We start from the raw sequence: 23,475 nt of genomic DNA, 5'->3' as shown, positions 1-23,475 counted from the left end.
AGTGTGTTTCCTATTTACATTTGAATATGGGTGTGGCCAATGTTTTGAGACTTTTCTTTAAGTAAATAAGGGAATGTGTAGTGTGGGGACTTGGGTTCCAGGGTGCTCACTGGGAACTGCACAGGGATCCACCCTCCCACATGGAAATGCACCACTGATTGGGGACTGAGGTCAAGTTCATACCCTCCCAAACTGTACTTGGACCAGAGAAGGTTGTCAGATATTTGGTTTTCCAAGAATTTCTCCTCATATAAATGGCAGCAGATCTGGAAACAGAATGGATGCTTATTGCTTATCAACAAGTTTGAAACCAAGATTTGTCAAAGATGAAAAATGAATATAGAGCACAAGAAATCACATGGTCATGCTACCAGGCAAAATTATATTTGACCAAAATAAATCAATAGGGAGGCAGAGCACATTTTCCATCTTACAAGCTATAAACCAGTAACAATTTATTAAGCACCTGCTGCAAACTCCACATTATGCTAGGCTCTAGGAGAGATCTGGCAGTGTCAGACATTGTTCCTGCCCCTGAAGAGTTCATTACCTCTCTTAAGAGAAACGATCACATGACAATATAGCAAATTACATAAGAGTCTACAGCTCTGCATTAAAGAATGTGTATAAGAATGAAAGCCCAATAGATTTAAGGGAGAGAAGAAGCCATGAATCTGAGAAAGCCTCATAAAGTAGAAGGCATGTGAACTGGTCCTTAAAGAGAGGAGGGAGGGCACTTTTAGGGAGAACAACAAAAGTAGATGTGTGAAGATGGGGGCCTGCAGACTTCTGTATTCATAAAGGTGAGAATGAATATGTGCCTCTCAAATGTAGAGGTCTGGCATCTAAAACCACACATCCTGTTGGTGTCTAGGCCCTGTTTGGAGTCATCTTTACCAGCATCCACTGGCACTTGTCAAACTTGGGAATAACTAAATAGCTATGCTGGATGATTCTTAACTGTAAGCTTCATGGAGACAGGGTCATAGCCATCTTGTTGAGTAAAGGGATGAATATCCATTCCCTAGAAACGGGGCACTAAATCTCTCGATGTATAACTCTAGATGAATATAAGACCCTTAGGGCAGATGCTCTCAGGGTCCCACCCATATAGTCTCAGCTCACACTCACCTCTCCATGCTAAGGTTGCTTGCCACAAACACCTGTAGCTCTGTACCCAATTCTTTTAAAAAAAAAAAAAAAAAAAAAATATATATATATATATATATATATATATATATATATATATATATAGGGAGAAACACAGCATATGAAAATGCCAGAAATTTAATGCTTCTAAATGTAGTTGAATCAGCCGATGATGGCTGGAGTTGGGGAGAAAATATTCAGCTTCTTTATCCACAACTGAGATTTCTCCAACACATTCTACAGTGTCTCCCAGAGTTCCCTAGTGAGACTGAGCCCCAGTTGCCCACAGTAGACACTTGCTTAATAATACTCTCTTGATTGGCTTCCTGCTACTCACTGTTTTACTTCCCCACTCCCCTATCAGCCTTTTCTGATATCACCTCCCAAGATAACCGACTGCACTTACATAAATCATCTTAACTGTACTTGAAGCCTATGAATTAAACCTAAAGTGGAAGACCTAACAATGGGGATCTTTCAAAATAGCAGAAACAATATTCTCAAGAGGATTTCTTAGAGAGCAAGAAGATAAAAATAGCTTTTTCTAGTTCCTCACTGCCTCCTTTTGTTCAAAATATGAATTCAGAAGTTGCAAGCACAACATATTATTCAGGGCTTCCCGTAAGAAATAACAACTGGTGTTGATTTTCTTTTTTTCCTTTTCTTGTCTTTTAAAGGTTAGCGATTACTCACCTCCCCTGCTGGTCATTAAATCAGTCTGGCAGGATTCCTCGGTAGTTCTGTGGCCTTCCGGGTATGTGGCGGAGACACAGGCAGTGCTGCAGACAGGCCTGCTTGCTGTGATGTGCTATCAAGCAGGTGACTTCAAAGGTCTGCTTTAAGCCTATCTCAAGTATCACTTGGGGCTCACACTGAGCCCCGAAATCAGGTACCAGATGGCACATCCCACAAAGTCAAAGTTGATCAGCTCACCAGCATCTCACATTTCCCTGGCTTTTGTGCCAAGGGACTGGAAACACTCAGGTAGAAAACAAATAACTTCTGTTAGCTTACTTCTCCTTCTCGTATTTTTAAGGAGTCATCAGTTCAATGCTTGACTGTCCTGTGAGCTTTATAGGTCTGGTGAATCCTGAGAGGCTCAGTTTTTGTGGTCATTTAAAATAGAATCATCCTTTCCTAACTCTAATATGGCATCTATCAAGATGCCATGAGTCATTACAAAGGTGGGCTTCCTCTCCCACTAAGGCTTTATATCTAAATTTCAGTTTAATCAAAGTTTGTCTCAAATGTGTACCTAAATGGAGAATTAAAAGACTGCTCCCCAAATCTAAATGAGACAAGTGGGCATTTTACATACTAATCGCAAAAATCAAATGTACTTAAAAGTCAGACAACCCTAGGATGAGACTGTGCTTAGATTATTCGGATACACTACCTACGAAATGAAAGGAGAATGAAAACCGATCTCAGTCTCTCCTTAATTTTCCCCTAGTACAAAAATAAAGAGTAAAAGTCAATTGACTGACCCAGCAAATACACAAATGCTGCCCTTTCAGGCCCAGGCTCAATCTTTTCTAAGAGTATCTGCCACTTGGATAACTCACCAGAAGAGACTGGACTGCCCAAGGCTTCATAGCACCTGTCACCAAACAAAGCACCCTGAGATGCTAAGAGAAGATTCTAGCATCAGCCTCTGTGGAGATGACCTTTAAGGTGCCTTCTAAACCGAAGGTTCTTTGATTCCGTGTTTCTTTGATACAAGCTCTTCTCTTGTCATTTTATACTTGGAAAAGCAGAGAGACTGGAATAGGCAACAAAGCACTGCCTCCTGCCTCCTCAGGTCGCTGCTCACAGTGGGGTCTTACACACTGTCAGAAGAAGCCCGACCTAAGTGGGCGACTGCTGCTGACTGATGCTTAAGGCATGCCAATAATGGGCACTCTAGTAATGGACAAGTCTCAAAGGCCAGTGTCAACTTAGCCCCTTCGTCATTCAAGCAGTTATACTGCATTCAGTTTCTTGGGCTCCTCTACAGCAGGTGGGATTTAGACCTGAAGGGACAGAGCCATCGAAGAGAGCAAGATAACTGCATTTTGGGGACGATTACACTGGAAAATCTGGTCTCTGCTCAACTGCCCAAGAGAGCATCACCTCAGAGGTCATAATAGTTGTCCCCAGAGTTCTATGAACTTCTCTTTGGCATTTTTTCATTTTACATAATCAAAGTAGCAAAAAAAGAATCTTTATAAAACAAAAGAAACATGCAAAGCAGAGAGTTTCTCCACCTTGGCACTATTAACATTTGGGGCTGGGTAATTTTGTTGTTGTGGGGGCTACGCTGTGCCTCTACCCACTAGATGCCAGTAGCACATGCCTCTTCCCCAAGTTGTGACAACCAAAAATGTCTCCAGCCATTGCCAGATGTCCCCTGGGTGGGTGCACAGTCAGCCCCGGTTGAGAACTACTGCCTTACAGATTCACAGTATTAACTTCTTGAAAGTGCTCTAGTAATGACATTTTAGAATACAACATAGGAACTTTGAATGTACAGATAGCAAATCTCTCGGGCTTCGCGAGCCACAATTTCTGCTATATAGCTTTCTTGGTTTTTGTTTTGTTGTGTTTATAATCTTTTAAAACTGTAAAAACTCAGTCTACGTTAAAAACTAGGCTGAAATTTGCTGATCCTTAGATTGTGGAGGAAGAAATGATGGTGATTCCCATAGTGATTGCAAGTGTTGAGACAGCATTTGGAAAAACTATGATCTTGATCTAGCTACCCAGTCTTTGTGACCCCGAGCTAGCAGTTATGCTGCCCTTCTTGGAAAGCCTGAAGTAAATAACTTAAGGTTAGATTTTATTAACCTTGTTTGCAACTTAATTCTATTTAATGTATTTAAACATAAAAGCTTTAAGTAAAACAGAAACTTGATATTTGAGCGAAATGAGATCTCCTAGTAAATGGAAGAATGTTTGCTATGTGAGGATGCGTCCTTCCCGTGGTTTGGAATAAAACATTCTGAGTTTCCCCTGAAGAAGAGGACTTTGTACAAAGGCAATTCCCCTACCCAATTTTGAAACTGAAATACGCTTTGATATGACTACGGGGGTTATCAAGGAGGGAAGAATGATATCTTGCAAACAAAGAATCCTAGTAACTGTCTGTAAAGTTGTAAAAATAAAAATTTCACTATGTAAATACATTTCAAATTCGTTTTTATGGAATTTTCTTTAACTCATCACATAAATGTCTGAGTAAACTAGGGAGGGTCTATTCAACAAGTATTTATTGAGTAGCTATTATGTGCCAGGGAGTGTGTAAGGCACTAAAGTTCAGTCAACCTGGACCCTGCCAATGAGCAGCACTCAATCAGGAAGCAGCTACATTCAATCATCCAGAGATTTTTTTTCCAAAAAAATCTTCTTTCTATCCTTGTATATTGTTAATTATAAATATCTTATGCTTTACTTTGGGTATTTGGAGTTTCTGTATGTGGATTTTAATTGACACTAGACAGAATCAGTCAAGAAAAATATTCTTATGATCCAATTACCACTATTAGAACAACTGGATGGGATGGGATATAAAACTTTGGTCAACTGTACTTCATTTGGATAACAAAAATGTACATTTTAAATCATTCCAGTAGTGTATCATATGAAAGTAAATTACAATGAAAAGCACACTGGGCTTGGAGTCCAAAACCCTGGGTCCAGTCCAGTCCTGGTTCTAGCCTTGTATTTTTTCCCATGGACAAGTCAGTTAACTTCTAAGAAGTAGTTTTCTCATATGTAAAATGGGATATAGCATTTTTCCCAATTTACTGTATTTAAACATACTGTATATTTCTAACCTATAAAGTCCTATAAAGATGATGTCATTATCATAAGTACTGGGCTGTACTGATTCTTCACTTTAAATAGATGATTCCGGAATAAATCAAGAATTGTTTTGTTAACAGCCTGGATCAATTATCAAAGGGACCTACTTACACTTCATTTTAGGTGATCGCAACGAAACGTATCTATAAAAGCTTGTGAGGCCCTCCTTTGAAATTTGCTTTGAGATGAACATCATGGATCTTCTGTTAAAAGATATAATCAGCTAAATTTAATTTTCTAGGAAAAGGAAGATGTTTGAAGAGCAGCATGTATGTAAAGAGGTTCAGAAATTACTGCATGAGCCCTTATCAGCACCACCAGGTCCTACCCACTTTTGCCTAATAATGCATCGTTGCCCTGTAGCCTTCAGGGGAAACCAACGCTGGGGGGAGTCATGCCTCACAGTGTGGGGTCAACTTCTAAGCTACAGTGGTCAGAGTATGGTAATCATATCACTTGCGCATATTCGAGAAAGCTCCTCCAAACCAGATCAGCTGGATTTTTGAAATACAGATATTTTTCTGTAATACTCTCAATTACATTTAAAAACGTCAACCTGGCTTTTCGTTTTCTGTCATCACTCCCTCCCAGTCTATTTTTTTTTTGTCAGCAAATAGTGGGACCAATATCCCAAGAAGGATCTCCTTCACTGCACAGGTACAATCCCAAAACATTAAGAGGAGAGAATGGGTCTACTCTTCATGCTTGAAGCAACACCCTACACAGCCCTACAAGTCACCTCCTCAGTTCTGTACTGGGGTATGAAAAAGCCTCAGACCTGCTCATGCTCTGTCCACTTCACTTCATTTCAAATGTGACGCCATAAAACCGGCAGGGGGCAGGGACTGTTGGGTGTTGTGTAGTGTTAACTGTCAATGCTATCCTTGATGCCAGTAACGAAGCATCAGAATAACACTAGTAACAACAATAACAGTGATTCTTTCACTCCTGACACCTTTCCTAAAGGACAAGTCATCATGTCTCTAAATGAAAAAAATTAAAAAAAAAAAAGTGCTCACTCCCACACTTTACATTACCATGACTAATGAAGGTCCATCTTCCTGTCCCCTGGCTCCATATCTACCAAAAGTAGGGGCTGGATGCAGAAAGAAAAAATTAAACATATAATTTAAAATTGAAGACAGTTATTTCCTTGGTTCCGTAAGTCTGGATTTTTATAAGCTGTATGAACTCATTTGACCAGAGAGTCATCAGCTAGAAATAAGTTCGGACCACTGCTAGGCTTGGTTTTGATTTTACTCAGACACCTAGAAGATGAAAAACCATCCCAGTTCTTAAAACAATCCACTGATTTTTGACCATTGTCCTTTAAAGTTGCCCTTTAGATATGGAGGCAAACCAAGCCTCCGTCTCTCCAGTCTCAACCTTCTCCTATAGCACTGTTTTCTGTCCTGAACTGATCAAAATCAAATAGGGAAGAAGTAATCCAGTTGAAAAGAGATCTGATAATGCTTGTTGATGTCTCATTAACCTTGAGAGTGACTGTAACTGGTGACTGCCTGTCACAGTGGTGTGATGGTTTGTGGGTGGGGGGGGAAAGGCAATGGAAACGTCACCTTGAAAAAACACAAAAAGAGAAATATCATTTAGTAGATCATCAATCAAAAGACGGGGCATTTCCAACTGTCAGAACTGGTTAAATTACAGTTTCCTTATGCCCATGATGAATCTACTATGTGTTTTCGTGGGAAAGCTTTTGGAGCAGTATTTATCTGTGTCCCAAAATATAGTCACTAAAGTATTGAGAGAAAAAAGAAAACCACTTTGATGCTGGAAGTCTAATCATGAGAAAAACAAACATCTCGGGATTAATGTTATTAAGGTTCTGTGATGAGTAAATGTGTGATGTGTGCCATTAAAAATATCATGAGCCACTCCATGTGGGAAGATCCTAATTCCATTGAGCCCCTAGTCAGATTCCCCTCATTACTAATTGCTAATTGATAACATGTCAACAAACGGACATAGGAAAATAATGAAAATTAGCTTGTCTCTAGGGATAAACTATTACCTGTAGAGGAAAAGAAGAGGAAAGAGTTCCCCAGGTTTCCCGGCAGACTCCCCTTGGGATAAGTAGACTAGAAATCTAACCAGCCTCTAGTACCAGATCTGGACTAGAGACTCACACAAAACGATCACCTTCCATCCCTCTGCACCAGAGTCCCAGCTGGGACTGGTTCTTGTCTGCCCTCCCCAAAGGAGAACCTTAAGTAAACAAGCCCCACAGTCCCCATCAGGGATTCAGATGGAACATTCTCACCTATTTTTACTTTTCTCTCCCGAGGTCTCCACTTTTCCATCTCTAGTCCTCACTCCTCTGCTTTTCTTAGGAAGTTCCTGAAAGTTACCACCATTAACCTCACTTTCCACATCAAATTCCCACCTCAAGCTGATGGCACAACCGGTTTCTGCGAGTGTCACCCTCTAACCAGCTGCTCGGTTTCCTGTGCTCTTCTCGGGGTCACACAGCCTGGCTTCTGTTCTCACCCTTCGGGCTCTGCCCCTCACCCCCATGCTCAGATGCACCCAAATAAAAGTGGATTGATCGGTTCCCTCTTTTCCCAAAGTTTTGGCATTTCTTGAGGAGCTACTGTGAAAGACGAAGGAACTGCGAATTACAAACATAATTTCATACCCTAGAAGATAGAGATGGCTACCTCGCTCCGGAGAAGAGAGCAGCAGGGCAGCCCCCTGTCCTCGCCAGAGACCACACTTCTTTCTGGGTGGGTGGGAGGCATCTTCATCACCATCCCGCCTCACATTCTTTTGTCCTTTCCCAACATCCCACACCAACAACCGTTCCCCAAACACTCCGGGGGGCCAGAAAAAGGGAGAAACAAAACTGAGGACAGGGAGGGGTATCTCGGAATCCCCTCCAAGCATAGTATTTTGTTCTCAAGTAGTAGGACTTTCCAGAATGTCTTCTCTCGTTCTGCTCCTTGCTGGCCCAGTTACCCCAAAGCCTCCCCACCCCCAAGCCCACTGCGACCAAAACAAGCGCACCGACCACAGCACTGTGGCCGCCGCCGCCCCAACTGTTGCAGCAGCTGCGGGGTGGCGGTAGAGGCGACGCGGGCAGGGCCGGACCCGGACCCCGACGCTCCTTGTCCAGGAGGCTGGGAGGCTCCAGTCGGCCGCCCTGGGGCGCGCGGTGCAGGAGAGTCCCTGCGGCAGCTGCCTGGGCTAGGAGAGGTGGCGCTCTCAGCCGGGACCCCAGCGCAGAGCCAGCCCGACCGCGGCCGCGGCGCTGGCGGAGTCTGCCCGCACCCGTCCCCTCTCACCTTTAAGATCAGGTCGGTGTGATGCTGGTCCAGCATGTTGGCTTTCTGGAAGGAGGTGACGATGACCCGGCCGTAGCGCCCGGGGGTCTGCAGGTCCGAGTAGAGACGGTGCTTGGAGCGGTTGACCGGGAAGAGGCTGTTAACGAGGTTGCGCTCGATCTTGGCCAGGCTGTGCTGGGGCGCCAGCAGGTGCTCCACGCTCTCCTCGACCTGGTAGCGGCTGAAGCTGGCGCCGAGCAGGATGGAGATGAGCACCGGCGCCGAGGCGAAGAAGACAGGGTGACTGGCAATGAAGTGGCCGAGCCGGGAGAAACACGTCCTCAAGCCCCTGTGCAGAACCTGCCGCAGCATCCTAGAGCAGAGCGGGCGCGGGAGGAGGGCGAGGCGCACGCTCGGCGCGGGTTCGGGCGGCGGCGGCGGCGGCGGCGGCGGCGGCGGCAGCGGCGCCCGCGGCGGCGGCGACGGCGGCGGCGGCGAGACCCTGAGCTCTCCCGGAGCCGCGGCACCACCATCGGGGAGTCCCGCGCCGCGCCTCGGGAGGGTCCCCTCGAGCCGGAGACACGCCCTCCTGCCCGCGGCCGCGCCCTCCCGGAGAGCCCCCCAGCTTGGCGGCCTCTGCGCCGCCCCCACTCCGCCCTACCGCGTGCGCCCTCCCCACCCCCCGCGGCCTCCCCGCCAGGGGGGCTCCGCGCCGCGCGGCCGCGTCCCCTCTCAGCGCGGGCGGGGCCCGGGGCAGCCCCCGCGGCTCGTCATGACCCCACTCACCCGACCCCCAAGGCCAACGACGGGGTGGCGCGGGGAGCGGCGACGGCGCTATCGCCAGGAGACTCTGCGCGCCCGCCCAGGAACACGAGGACGGAGAATTCCAGGCTACACCCAGTCCCCTCCCCTCCCTTCGCTCCCCTCCCCCGGTCCGGCCCGCCAAGCTCGCTCTCCCCTTCTCTGCCCTCCTCCGGGAAGACCCAGAGATAAATAAAGAAATGGCCCCGATTTTCCAAACAAAAAGTAAAGAGTTCTCAGGAGTGGGGGGAGGGGGCGGGTGTCGGGCGGACCCGCTCAGAGCCGAGTCTCTCCAGAGGCTTAAAGGAGCAGGCTGAAGACTGCGTGCGTCCCGGCTCTCGCCAGGCTCAGGTGGTGGCGCGCACTGGCTGGTGCCGAGAGGGGGTGGGGAGCGAAGACGCTCGAACGTGGAAATCACGCCTCCTTCCAAATAAGAACCGTTTAAAATACCCCCAACACTGCAGCTTCGGCGGGACCACGGGGTCCGGGTGTGTGTCTGGAGCACGTCCACTCAAAAGGTATCCGTGGAGAATCTTTCTCTGTGGCTCTAATTTAGGGTCGCTCCAGAGTGGATTGGGGCTGGCCAGCTCTGTTGCACACCCCCCAACCTCCCACCCAGTCCTTTAGTAATAAAAGTGCTGATAATGACGGTCAGTCGATGGAACTGTCCGTCGCCTGGGCTCCCGGGCTCCCGAGCTCCGGGGCTCCCCGGCTCCCGGTTCTTCGCCCTGCCTTCTCTTCCTCCTCCTCTCTCTGTCGTCACCAGCAGGTCTGGGGGACCTGGTGCGGCGTGGCTGGCGCGGGCGCCCCTGCGGGCGTAGAGTGTTTGAGAAAGGCTGGCCAGGGAGTCAGTAGCATTAACCCCCTTCTCTGCCTCACTCCGCCCTCTCCTCCCCTACATGCGAAGGTGTGAGAGTGGAGGGAACCTTATCTCAGAGCAGGAGAGATACAGGTCTCCGAGCGTGTTGAGCCGCAGGGGGCGCGGGGGAGCCCGCGGGGCGCCGACGGCTTGGCAAAGTTGGGCGTGTGCGTGTGCGCGCCAGCCGTGAGCTAGCAGGCAGTCACCGTGGTTCCCCTCGCACTCCCCCTCCGGAGAATTCCCCGAGAAGGCGGGCGCCGGCTTCGGCCCCGGGATAGACCTGCGGCGGCGGCGGGAACGGCCACGCACAGGTACAATTTAGCGCGTTTCATTTCGCGCTCCAAGCTCCTGGGTCTGTCCACTGCAACGCAGACCGAGCGGGATCTCGGAGTCTGGGTCACTGAGGCGCTCTCTCCAGCCAGGGGGGTGGGATACAGGGCGCGGCGAGGGGTCCTCAGACTCCGCGCTCTGAGCGCTCAGCCTCCCCATCCCAAGCCTTTGGTCGCTACAGCTCAGTCTCCCAGTGCCAGGGGTCGAACGGGAGGCGGTGGCCCGCACTACGGAGCATAGACATGCATATTAATCAAAGCTGAAGGAAGACGAATAGGGACAGGAAGAGGAAGGGGAGTGGGGGGGGGGGAAGAAAGAGGAGAATGGGTAGGAGAATGCGCCTCGGGGAGGCATTTCCCTAACGTTCCCATTCCAGACTCCCCTACACCTAGCGGCCCTTCACTTCTCAAACTGAACTTGGGAACTTGCACGTTGGAAACAGCAAGTCGCGGTTTGGGAAATCCTCCTTATTTGATGATCTCCTCCCTTCCCCCATACCGGACTTCCTTCCTACCTTTCCTCAGCAACACCTGCTCCTGCTGCGCTGCCCACCCCGGGGGCGCACCTGCCCTGCTCTGCTTGTGCTCCCTAGATCCTTCCACCCATTTCTCGTCCACTTTCTGTGCTCATCTTCGTTATTCCCTACACTGCTCTGTTTCCAGAGGCTCCCCGCGACGCCTAAGTCCAGCAGCTTCCAGCTGACTCCCCTCCCCCAGTATCGCCGTCCCTGGGAGGGACACATTGGAAGGGGCTAGAAATTCCCCTGCCACACTCCACTCGTGCCGTTCCCCCAGCATCTTAATTTCTGCTCGTGGAGGTGCCGCTGCTCTGCAGCGCTTTGCTGATTCACCATGATCGCGGAGGGAAAAGCCTCATTGACTTGTGCCCCTGCAAGCGGCGAGGCGAGCGCGAGTGGCTGCGAGGGCACGCGCTTTGGGAAACCACCCACCATTGCGTAGCCGAGGTGCTAAATGACAGGGTGGATGCCCTGCGTGGCTCTCAGCCCGGGCAGACGGAAAGATGGAAGGGCGGGGAGGAGGGGTGGCGGTGGGAAATACTGCGAACCCAGCTCTTTGCGACTGAGCCAGCGGCAGCTAGTGGGTGGGCACTTCTCAGGAGGCCTAAAATCGGTCGCTGCACAGGGAATGAACAGAGCTGTTTCATGTGCCCCGATGCCAGCGCAGGGATAAAAGTAAGAGAAGGAAAACCAGCCGACAGGTCTGCTTAGGTGCCTTTAACATTTTGGCGAAGCTGTTTTCATTCTGAAGTCTTTGACCCTCCGATTGGCTCCCTTCCAACCTCGGTTCGCCCTCGTCCCTAGAATTTCCGGCCTTTTAATGTCAGCCCTCACAAGGGCTGAAGAACAGAGTGCCCTCCCTCAGTGCCTGGGCTGAATCTTAGAGCGGGAGAAACTGCATTGCTCAGCTGGCCAGGGCGAGAGTGTTGTCCTCCCACACAGAAAAGGCCTTTCCTTTGGGACCAAGGCATTTGTTTCTAGTCCTCCCAACTCTATTCCTAACTGTCCTTATGTATATTTGGAGGAGCTTCTAACCTGTATGTTTCAATTTGGAGACAGAACCAACTAAGTGTGGACCTTGGGCCACCTTTTACTGCAGGCAATCCCGTTAGTGTTGTCTAAATTGAATTGGAGCAGCAGAGAGAGTGAGAGTGAGGAGAGAGGAAAGAGAGAGGAGAGAGAGGGGGAAGAGAGAGGCGAAAGAGAGGGGAGAGAGAGAGGGGCGAGAGAGAGGGGCGAGAGAGAAAGAGAGCCCACACGTAAGAGTGCAGGAAGGGTGTTGCCTCCCCCCGATTTTTCTTCTCTTTTTGTAGAAGTTCTGGGGAGCATTGCCTCCACCAACGACTTGGGTTTGCATTTGGGCCAATGACTTTGTGATCAGAGCTTTCACCAGTACGTTAATAAATTGTTACCTTTTCTGATTTAAAATTAATACATATTAATTTTAGACAATTTGGAAAGTAAGAACAAGAAAAAGAAGGAAACAAAAACACCTGTATCGGTGTACTCACACTACCTTTCAACCTTTGTCGATCATTTATTGTACACATAGGCAATATAATGTAGAAGTTGAGGCTTTTGGTTCTGTAGCCACTGAGTTGAATCCTTGCTCCACTATTTATTAGCTAAAATGCAGTGGGTAACTTTACTTTTTTATGGCACAATTTTTCTCTTCTGAAAAATGGGAATAACAATAGTACCAACCCCATAGAATTGCTATGAGGATTAAATAGATTAACACACTTAAAACAGTGCCTGAAATATCACAGACATATAATAAATGATATTTGTTATAATCTTATTCTATACATAAGTGTGAAAAGAAAAGCATTCCCTGGTATTCAGAAGCTAGCCTGGCACTCACAACTAAGTTTGGTGTTCTCCCACCGAACATAAACCATTTTCTGAAACACTAATGTCAGATAAGAGCATTCTGTAACTGTGATGGTTTAAGATAAAATTAGGACCACTCCATAATCATATGTGAAAACAGACAAAACATGAACCCTGTCCAAACCACAAAAAATGACGAAGCATGTTATCCTGGCTAATATGAGGACAGTTGTGGTCTTTTAAAAACGAATTACGGCTGGGCGCGGTGGCTCATGCCTGTAATCCCAGCACTTTGGGAGGCTGAGGCAGGCGGGTCATGAGGTCAGGAGTTCGAGAACAACCTGGCCAACATGGTGAAACCCCGTTTCTACTAAAAATACAAAAATTAGCCAGGCATGGTGGCCAGTGCCTATAATCCCAGCTACTCGCGAGGCTGAGGCAGGAGAATCGCTTGAAACCAGAAGGCAGATGTTGCAGTGAGCCGAGATTGCGCCACCGCACTCCAGCCTGGGCAACAACAGCAAAATTCTGTCTCAAAAAAAAAAAAAAAAAAAAAATTACAGCTTTAGCCTTTAGCCTCATTCTAGTCTTTTCTCCCTCTAGAAAAAAGATTAAGACACTCAGACATAAAACTACCCCTGCTTCCTAATGGCACCCAATCTGGTGTAAGCCCCCCATATACACAACCCACAACCTTCCCCCAAATTACTTAACACAAGCCCAAATCCTATAAGTGCTTTCTAACACCCCCTTCTTGAGACACCTCTTAGTTCTCCATGGTGTGTGTTCCTCACTGCAACACGAAGGAAACCCAGTTTGGCCAACTACTTGGTGTGGTCCTGGTGGTCTTTGGCAAGAGGACACTGACAATGTATATACAATGTTTACTTTATTTTCTAAAATTGAGGATCATAGTAAAAATTCTGTTTGATAACCATTTTTTCCCATGAAATATTTCCCATGAACAGTTTCTCATTTCAATTATTATTGCTATAAAAGATTTTATGGCTGCATAGAATTCCATCATACGGCTGAACCTTAATTTAACTTATGCCAAGTTGTTGGTCATTTAGTTTTTAGAAATTTTACTACTATAAGTAACACTGAGATGAACATCCTGTACATAAATCTCTGGCTGTATCTCTATTTTCTTAGGATCAAATATCTGCCACTACATGTTAAGTAGACAGCTCCTAACAAATGCCTTTCTAATAATTTTTAAATTGGAAGGGACAAGGGCATTCCTTCACAGGGATTAAATTCTTTGATGAAATACTGACTTAGTCCTACTTTACAGGGATTTCTATCCTTTGCTACATTTGGAATCAGTTTCTTGGCTCAGTCCTGCTCAGATATGCCAGAGAGATTGATCATAATGGGGAGTAGGGATTCCAAAGAAAAGATTATTTGGTTTGATAAGGTTATAAAAAAAAAAGGCCTGCTCTTGTCTAGCAAATGTTTCAAGCATTAGCTTTTAATCACATCACCATTTTCTGCCTGAGAAACAACAAAATATTTTCATGCATATATCTTAAATCTAAACAGTTCTATGTCAACCATGAAATCACTATGCATAGCAAGTGATATAATACAAAGGATATTTGGGAGGCTGCAATTGAAGGTGGCACTTAGTGTAGTGTGCTTATTATTTTATACCATCCCAATCTCAATAGTTCTGACATATTGCCAAGTGGTGGGTGTTTCTGCTATCCTAAAAGATCTACGTAAGATTTCTTGGAGAATGGAATCGCATGCAGAGAAGGTAAAAGTATAACAAGAATTGTCCTTTCAAAGCAGGGAAGCTCCTCTGGCAAACATCAGAGCTCCCTTGAGTAGGGATGTCTCCATCAAGTATCTACTGGGTCTCAGCCATGTTTTGACCAAGAAGCTGTTTTACACACAGCAACACTGTACTCCTTGAAATGGTACCCAAAGAGATTTCTAAAGATAGTTTAAACTTGAAATCGAAAAGAGAAAACGTGTGGCAAGCCTTAATTGTTTGCTTAAGATAAAGAGACACACTGCTGTGTGTAGATGATCCCTGCTGAAAAGTGGGCTAATTGTTATGTCTGGGTCTTCCAGGATGTTCTGCCAACTCAGCAGGCTCTCAAAAGCATCATGAGTCTTTTAGAAGAATGATCCGTGATGATGTAAGGAAAAAAGTCATGCAAAATTATCTTCCTGAATAAACACAGGACTCAGGGCCAAAAGAGAGGTATTTCGTGTTCTGATTTAGGGGAAAACACTTTGGCACACACTCTCTGGATGTCTGTGCTCACAGTGCCACTGGTGAGTTGAGATGGCCAGCTCTAAACCTTTGCTTTGCTTTTTTCTCCTAACAGAAAGCATGGCCATACCTTCTCTCTACCTTTCAAAATCCTCCCTTCCTTCAAGGTTCTCTCAAAATCCCAGCTCACGCATCCAATAAACCTCTGATTGCCACAACAAACATTGATTAATTTAACTCTATTAACTCTGAGCGATTTTATTTGAATTATTTCAGTGAGCAAGTTCCTACTGTGCTTGGCAACTAGGAGAAATTGAGCAAAGAATTCCCTGCTCTCAAGAAATCTGTAGTCTAATATGGTTGAATGAAAATACAGAGGATTAAAATATGAACTTATATAAGGTAAATTTCAGAGAAGTCCTGTTCCATCAGTGTGTGGGATTCATAGAAATCATAAATGATATCTGGCTGGTCCCTGGTCTTAGAATACCTTTAGCCCTAGAGTTAGCATCTTGCTTGCTGTTTTGAGCTTCTTTGTTGTCTGATGTTTCATATATATATCTATATATATTATATATTTTTCCTATTCTCTTAGCAATGTTTTAATTTCCTACAGGCCAAGAACCTTACCTTTTGATTTCACCTTCAGAACTTTGGTGCTAGGATTGAGCACAGAGCAGGCTTGAGTAAATGCATGTTAGTGGCTTATTAGAGTAAAATACACAAATCACTCAAGGAAGATAAGGATGCTGCCACATTCAGACAAATTATTTTTAAAATCATTTTGTTAGAACCAATGATCAGTTATTTTTTAAAAAGTAGTTCACAATTCTGATTTCACATAGTCAAATATTTGTTAGTCCACATGAGAAATTCGAGCTGTAAATAAGATGGATGGGGAGTGCTTATTTAAGAGAAACCCTTTAAATTGGATGTGCATATTTTAATATGCAAAGGAATGTTGCTAACTATAAATGAGTATCTTTTTGCTAAACTGTGCTGAATGGGATACTGGTTCAGACACATTTTACAAGGAACACTTAGAGGCGCTTGGGACATTGAAAGCAGCAAAGTGTATATGCATTTAAAGACTAATCTATAACTCAAGTGGATGGGCACGTAATTGTGTTTCAGCATGCATCAGCCTGCATCCATCAGTGGGCTGGGCTGGTGTCTACTTTCTCTTTCTTCCCTTGGGGTGGTCCTAAAGTTTTAACTTGGTCAAAGAGGATGAGCACTGTATTCTGGAGATGCCTGAGTAATGTCACTTTCTTAATAGCAAACAAGGCACAATTCAGGATTTTCATTAAGTCGCGCTAGTTTCCCCTCTACTGCATCTATATGAGGAGAGTTTAGGTACATTGCTCACTTTCAGCACCAGGGACAGATCTGATATAACCTAGCTACCCCTACCCTTTCCAACTTCCATCACTTGTAAGTTGGTTTTAGAAACATTTTAGAGCTAAAGAGGTTCTATAAAGTAATATAATACAGGAGTTGATCATCTTTTTCTAAGCCAGGCCAATTAAGATGAAAATAAATTTAAATTGGTGGGCCACTAATCCAATATGATCATATTTCAAATTGTGTCCATTACTTTTATACCCTTGTGATGTTTGTATGAGGAGGGAGACATTTAAAGAGAAATGTTAGAAATGACTCTAAAATATAATCTCTTGCAGTTAAGGAGTAATCGTGCTGAAAATTTACAGGAATGATAGAAAATGGGAAAAGAATATTTTTATGCATTTCATGTGCCAAGGTTAGCCCTAGGCACTTTCAAGTGTCTAGCCTATATAATTTGCAAAATCACTCTGTGGGCTATTAAGCATTGTCAAACCCATTTTAAAGAGAGGAAATTGAGGATTAAGGAGATTAAATGTCTTGTGCAGGGTTACACCGTAATGGAAGTATAAATAGAGTGCAGGACTATCTGATATCAAAATCCATGTTTTTCCATTCACTCATTCTGCTGTTAAGCAAAAAATTACTTGATTCCATTTCTAAAATGCCTTGACTAGATTTAAAAACGTTCTAATCAGAAAACATAATATGCCATGAATATTATAAACAATTTAATGTTATTTCTGTATTTGCTATTCATTTAATGGTACTGTAAAATGGCAATATTGTGGCCTATCCATTAATCGGGTTTTCAGTGTTTGGATTCATTTCTAATGTTGGTATTCTTCAGAGGAGTTTTGTGGACCAACAAAAATATTGTATGGAACCCAAAGTGTTTGCTAATCTAATCCAACCCACTCTTTTTGCAGATGGCAAAACTTCTGCAGTCCTTGTCTGAATTCTACCAAGAAAAATCCCTCAAAATGTTAAAACGGAAAACTGTCAAGTGGTTCCAAAATACATAACAGAAAAAGGAACTGAATAGACTCTGACCTTATGCATGTTAAAATGTTTCCATTTTTTAGTTGTTCACCAGTAGTCGTGATATTGCTAAGGGAAAGCTTCTTTAATTCTCTTCCTTTACTGTGTAAAGTGAACAGAGACCATTCTAATCACCAGATCCATTGTCTTACGTTTGAACATAGGGGACATAGGAAAGCAGGGGGTTTCCTGATACAACTCTTAGCTTCGGGGCAGTCTTTCTTTGATGTTTATATATTTAATCCTTTTAAAACTCGTACTCCAGAGCATAACCTAAGAACAAAGCACTTCATCCCTTCTGTTATTAGAACTGTGTACTTCTTGCTTTGACTTTTAAAAATGACAGAGCTACAAGGCATTCTGTTCCCCGTGGCTGATCACTTCCTTCTCATAAATGGCATTATGTTGGTGAATTAATTAATAGTAAAATCTGATTTACATATTCACAAATATTAGAATTGTAGAAAAGTTAAATCAGGAGGCAGCTCCAAGGAGAGGCTAAGTGAGGGAAGACCAAAAAAAAAATCAAAGCTTCCTTTTTTAGACAAAGCACAGAACTTGGCATTTCTAGGGCTGCCCTGCTTCCACCTTCAGGCATCTTCTGAATATTGTAAAGGGGATTATTCTGGACATGGAAAGCTCTGTTCTGCCATGGGTTGAAAGGTTTAGCCTCAGGTGAATGCCATTACCTCCTGCAGTGTGCTAAGCAACAGGAACTAAAGTAGTTTGGGTACTGGCCTAGTCATCAACAGATAAGGTCCTTCATCTGCTCTGTTACATCACTGCAGTTAAGATTTCTATCCTTAAAATGAGAATAATGAAGATGATGATTATGCTATCTCCCTCCTAAGCAGGGTTTCAGATGCAAAAGTTGATGATAAATGTAAAATGCTTTGAAACAAACACATACATTATTGGGCCTTCTAGGTCCAGGACGCTTTGCTAAATGCGGAGCATGAAGAGATGTAAAGACCTTGCCTTCAAGGTGTCCACAGTGCAGTGGAGTGTGGCCAACAAGTGAAACAAGAAAGTTGTGTAGTGTGGCAAGGACTTTGTCGTGCTATGCGATCAGTGAGAAGGTTCCTCTAACCTAGCCTGAAAAGCAGAGTCGGGCAGGGTGGGGCGGCGGGGTTGGAAAAGTTTTAAAGAAGATGTGCACAGATGCCATCTGGTGCTCCATCCTTATCCCCTCCCCCCACCCCCAGAAGTTCATTCTAGGTAGTTTCCATTTACACCGAAGTCTTCCTGCCTCTCTCTGTCTGAGCTGTTTCCTGCCCATGAGACACACTAGAAATGCCAGAGAGCTAACACCTCTAGAAATGACCTTAAATTAATGAGGGATAGGATAAATACCCAGGCTTCTTTGCCTTGCAGTGGGACAACTCAGAGATGTGTTTCTCACAGGCTCTCCAAGAATTCCAATGGAGTGGAGCCCTCATTGTCCACAGCAATAACACACTCATGCTCATTAACACACCCTTTATAAACTTTTCTCTCTTCTCTGTCTCCTTTCTCCATTCCGTTACTCTGCTTTCTGGGAATCTTCTCTGAAATAAACCTCTTGCTTCCACATATTTATTTCAGGATCTGTCTTTAGTGGAACCCAACCAAACACAGGAGATGACATCCAAATGGAGTCTCAAAGGTTAGCAGTTAGTTAAGCCTAATAAATGTGCTGGTATGTAAACTATATTTCAGTAAAGCTGTTAAGTAAAAGAGTTAGCTAACCCACCTATGGAGAGAAAGAATATTCCAGGCAGCGGGAATAACATTCGAAATTATAAGGATGGGATAAAGGGCTTAGCTTGTTTTCGGAAATATGAATAGCTCAGGATGGATAGGCAATAGTTTGGAAAAGTATACAGGAACTAGGTTAAAAAGGAACTTATAAGTTCAAATAAAGAGCTGGGTTTTTATTCTGGAGATGACAGGGAGCCATTTCAGGGCTTTAAAGAGTGTTTATGGCCGGGTTTATGTTTGTTTATGTTTTACAAATCTGGTGGCCACATAGGAGGTGGATAAGGGAAAACAAGACTAGAGGCTAAGAGACCAATTAGGAGGTCATGATAATAGCTATGACAAGAAAGGATTAGGGCCTGAAGCAAGGTAGAGGCCAGTGGGATGGAGACAAAGGGAAGAGTTGATATGTTTTTAGGGAGATAGAATTGGCAGGACTTGGATTATTGAAGAATGGAGCTAAGATACTGCATCGTGATTTCTGATGACATAATGTCATTCCAAATAGCCATGCCAAACCATATCCAACCCCAGAAGTATTAGTTTATTTTTTATTTTTACCAAATTCCACTGAAGAACAGAATTTCTTATCAGAGTGAGGAAGGAAAAAAGGTGGACTGTGTTAAGCTCTAGACTATGACAAATAGAGGGTGATTATGATATTTTGGGAATGAGAGCTGGACAATGGGGACCAGCATCCTGGAAAATGGTCTGGAGAGTCCACAAGGTAGAGGCTACGATCCATTAGATGAAATCCACAGTGTAGAGATTCATGTGGGTTAATAAATGTCCTTCCTTCTCAAATAATTGAGTTAGATTTTAGGACCAGTTGCTTGCGTGAGACAACTTCATCTGAAGAAGGAAAGGAGGTAAATCTGGAAGAAGAAGAAGGAGGAGGGGGAGGAAATGATTGGCTTTCGTGGGTGAGAGTCTCTGGAAAACCTCCTGTCTTTGGTTCATCTCAATTCTTTTTATCTTTATAATGCAGAGCTGGGGATTGGGGATTTTCATTCTGATGACCTGCTAGAATCCATCCCTGAAGGTGACCAAACACCATGCACTCCATACACAAGGCCCCTATTATTACCTGATGGCATCTTATACTTCTGTTAGGAAACACACACACACACACACACACACACACACACACACACAAGCTTGCTTGCTTTAATTTACACAGTTAGCAATCACATTGAAGAAAATAGGACCAACATTTTATAGTATTAGACACTCATTCTTTCATTGCCCCGTTGCCAGGGCACTATAAATATGAGACCATTTTAATGACGTATTTTTAGTCCTATTATAAATGATGCTGGTATGAACATTTGTGAATAACATTTTATGTGGACATAAGTCCACATTTCTTTTGGATATATACCTAGGAGTGGAATTGCTGGGTCATTTCATAACTCCATGCTTAACATCTTAAGAAACTGCCAAACTGTTTTCAAAAGTACCTGAACCATCATACATTCCCACTAGCTATGTTTTTGCTGTTATATCATTATATATTCTAAATTTTTCTCTACTTATTACTAGATGTTAATTTCACAAACCTTTGCAATCTCATTCTTGATATATCTTTAAATTCTCTTTCTTGTAAAAATCATTTAAAAAATATCTTAAAATGTTACTTGAAAATCCCCATACTATCCTAATAAGAATTAGTGAGATTGTCTAGAAAGTGTATTGGATTAGACCAGTGTATTACTTAGATAGATATGAGAAGCTATTTGTTTAGGGATCCTGAATTTCAGATTCACATGTCCACATCTTGCTGTGGCACCTCACATCTATAGAATCTCTAATGAAGGAGTAAAGTTGGATTCTAGGGACCACTCATAGTCAGAAGGGGAAAGAAAGGAGGTGGAGGCAAAAAGGAAGTGGAAGACTCAGAGAAAGTTGTGAGAAGACCACAAAGATTTATATAACACGCCCACTGTTATGGCTTTGATGTAGGCAGAAGGCCAATGTCTGAGTTACAATCATGGGTCTGGTTTGGACCCCCTTGGAAGCTTGTCCAATTCATGTCATCCTCTTTCTGCAGTTCAAACTACTCTTCCCAATTTACTTCTTTTGGTTTCACCCTACATCTATCCATCCAGTCCCCATCACTGTGGGCAGTGCATGATGAGAAAAAGTAGGGAGTGGGAAAAAGAGGAAAATGAGAACAAACGTGTTCATGACCCTTTCCCTACCTCTTTGCCTCCCTATTTATTATCAGTCTGGTAGGCATACTGTTTAGTTTGCCTCATCTGGAGAGATAACACTTTCGTCTCTATAAAGCAGTTAGTATCACCTAAGCCACGGAAATGAACTTCCCTATGGAACAATAAAGATGAAATAAGGTAGTGACAAAATCCCACAGGAAGGACTATTAACTAATATTATTAAGTGATACTTCCTAAGTGAAACATCCCCTCCACTGTAATATTTCATTATTAATAGTCCTTGGGAGTTTCAAGAAAAGAAAAACCTTTTTATTTCTCTGGCTTGGTCTCCTGGTATTCATAATGGAATCTAGGCTATGCTTTATGATGCCAAAAACCACTGGTCAATCCAGTCAGTCTTTTAATAGAACAACAATCAGCCACATTATTTAGTGTTACGTAGACAAACAGCTATTTGAATGGAATATTCACATGCAAATCAGTTATTTTGACATCATATGGGCACAGTCCAAGTAAATATTTAAATACTAATTGAAAATCATTAATTGGAACCATATTTGTTGACTATCTCATATATACAGGAATATTTCCCATTTAACAGATGGCTTCGTATCAATCTCATCTTAGAAATTAGTAAACACAGATTTTCCCAACCATGGAACAGAAGTACATACATAAGAAGGGGCTATAAGCAAAAAGCAGCTTTTGTTAAAATAAATTTGATTATACATACTTGAAGTTTCCAACATGATGTTATGAGAAGGTAACTTAAAGAAGATAACTCTGGAAACCAGGGCAGTGGTAATTCTTCAGCGGTGGTAAAATTATCTGTGGAAGAGAGCCCGTGGCAATACAAACATTGAAGATCTTGGTTGTTAATCTGTTGTGCTAGTTTCCTAGGACTGCCATAACAAAATACCAAAAACTAGGTGGCTTAAAAAAAAAAAAAAAAAAAAAAAAGGAAATTGATCATCTCACAGTACTGGAGGCTGGAAGTCCGAGATCAAGGTGTGGGTAGGGTTGGTTCTTTCTGAGGACTGAGAGGAAGAATCTGTTCCATGCTACTTGCTTATCTTCTTGTGGTTTGTTGGCGAGCTTTGGCTTTCCCTGGCTTGTAGATTCATTATCCTGATCTCTGCCTAGATGTTCACATGAGGTTCTCCCTGTGTGCCTGTCTATGTCCAAATTTACCCTTTTTTTTGAGGACACCAGTCATATTGGATTAGGGGCCCACCCTACTCCAGTATGACCTCATCTTAACGAATTACATCTGTGATGAACCAAATAAGGTCATATTTCCAAATAAAGTCATATTCTGAGGTACTGGGGGTAAGGAGTTCAATATAGAAATTTTTGGGGGGACATAGATTTATAAATATAAATTTTTAATGTAATTCAACCCATAACATCTGGTAAGAGATCAATAACACCTTCACAGAGGCCCAGCAGTCTCCGTGATCTCTGGCAAAAGTCACTTTTGATTGGATGTTTTGGGGTGGAGGTAAGGGCAAAGTAGAAAGACTAATCAGTTTTGTATAAATCTGCTGTCAAGTGTATGCCAGGAACATATAATTCTATTTTTTTACTTAATGCCCTCTGATACCTCTTCTCCACATTTCAGAGGAATGGGACTAAAAGTTGCTTTAATATTTGGGGTCTGAGAGAAACTCAAACTTTGGCAAAACTGTCACAGTTTTTTGAGGGTGCTTTAGGTCTCTTCTAGGCTTGAAGATTATAATATGATAATATTCATACTTTGGGTGTTCACATATTTTCCAGTCCAACTTGAAGTTTTGTGTCAGAAGACCCACAGGTATTTTCTTTTACTTTGTATAAAACTGCTCTCTGCTACAGGAGGTATTTTCCCCACCTCGCAAGAATTTTCATTTTCTTAACTTAACAGATGCCCTCTCAGAATCTTCCCTTCTCCTTTATTTGAAAACATGTGCCCTAGTTTCCCAGCTTAACTGCCACATCCTTTTGCCCCACCAGCACTATGGCCATCTCCATCCCATCCTTACCCTAACGTGACTTTGTATTTGGATTTGGGAGAATCACTTGGCTATTGTTTCCCACCTGGAAAAAAGGAGACCCAAGTCATCCTTTTAAGTATCCTAAACACCTAGGTTAGTTAGCATCATCATGTCTGAGTGATCAGCCTTTGCTGTAAGTGATGGATTGCACTTTGCAAGGCTCTCTCTTTCTTGAGAAAATCACCAGCAGTGTCCTGGTAGACTGTAGACTTTTTGCGAGTAATGTCACAGGATATATGTATCAGTATTACGCTATCCTCAGAAGGCACCTTGCTCTTACCTGTGGTAATGACCACCCCCATCTTG

The 23,475-nt window shown here is 43.7% G+C and overlaps 1 protein-coding gene across 2 annotated transcripts in view; it reads right to left on the bottom strand.

The window, feature by feature from the left end:
- PTCHD1 (patched domain containing 1) overlaps window positions 1-9,125 on the bottom strand; it is a 69,979-nt gene extending 60,854 nt beyond the window's left edge. The window contains exons 1-2 of one of the 2 annotated variants that reach the window (XM_011545449.4): window positions 9,060-9,125; window positions 8,295-8,646 (exon numbers count right to left, since the gene is read on the bottom strand). In XM_011545449.4, coding sequence (XP_011543751.1) covers window positions 8,295-8,645 — 351 coding nt within the window. In that variant the 5' untranslated portion in view covers window position 8,646; window positions 9,060-9,125. Of the gene's footprint in view, window positions 1-8,294; window positions 8,673-9,059 lie in introns of those variants that run through there. The other variant, NM_173495.3, reaches the window with a different exon arrangement.

Source organism: Homo sapiens, chromosome X, assembly GCF_000001405.40.
Source record: "Homo sapiens chromosome X, GRCh38.p14 Primary Assembly".
Lineage (NCBI taxonomy): Eukaryota > Metazoa > Chordata > Mammalia > Primates > Hominidae > Homo > Homo sapiens.
The sequence above is the reverse complement of the archived record's forward strand: the minus strand, read 5'-3'. Positions and strand labels throughout refer to the sequence as shown.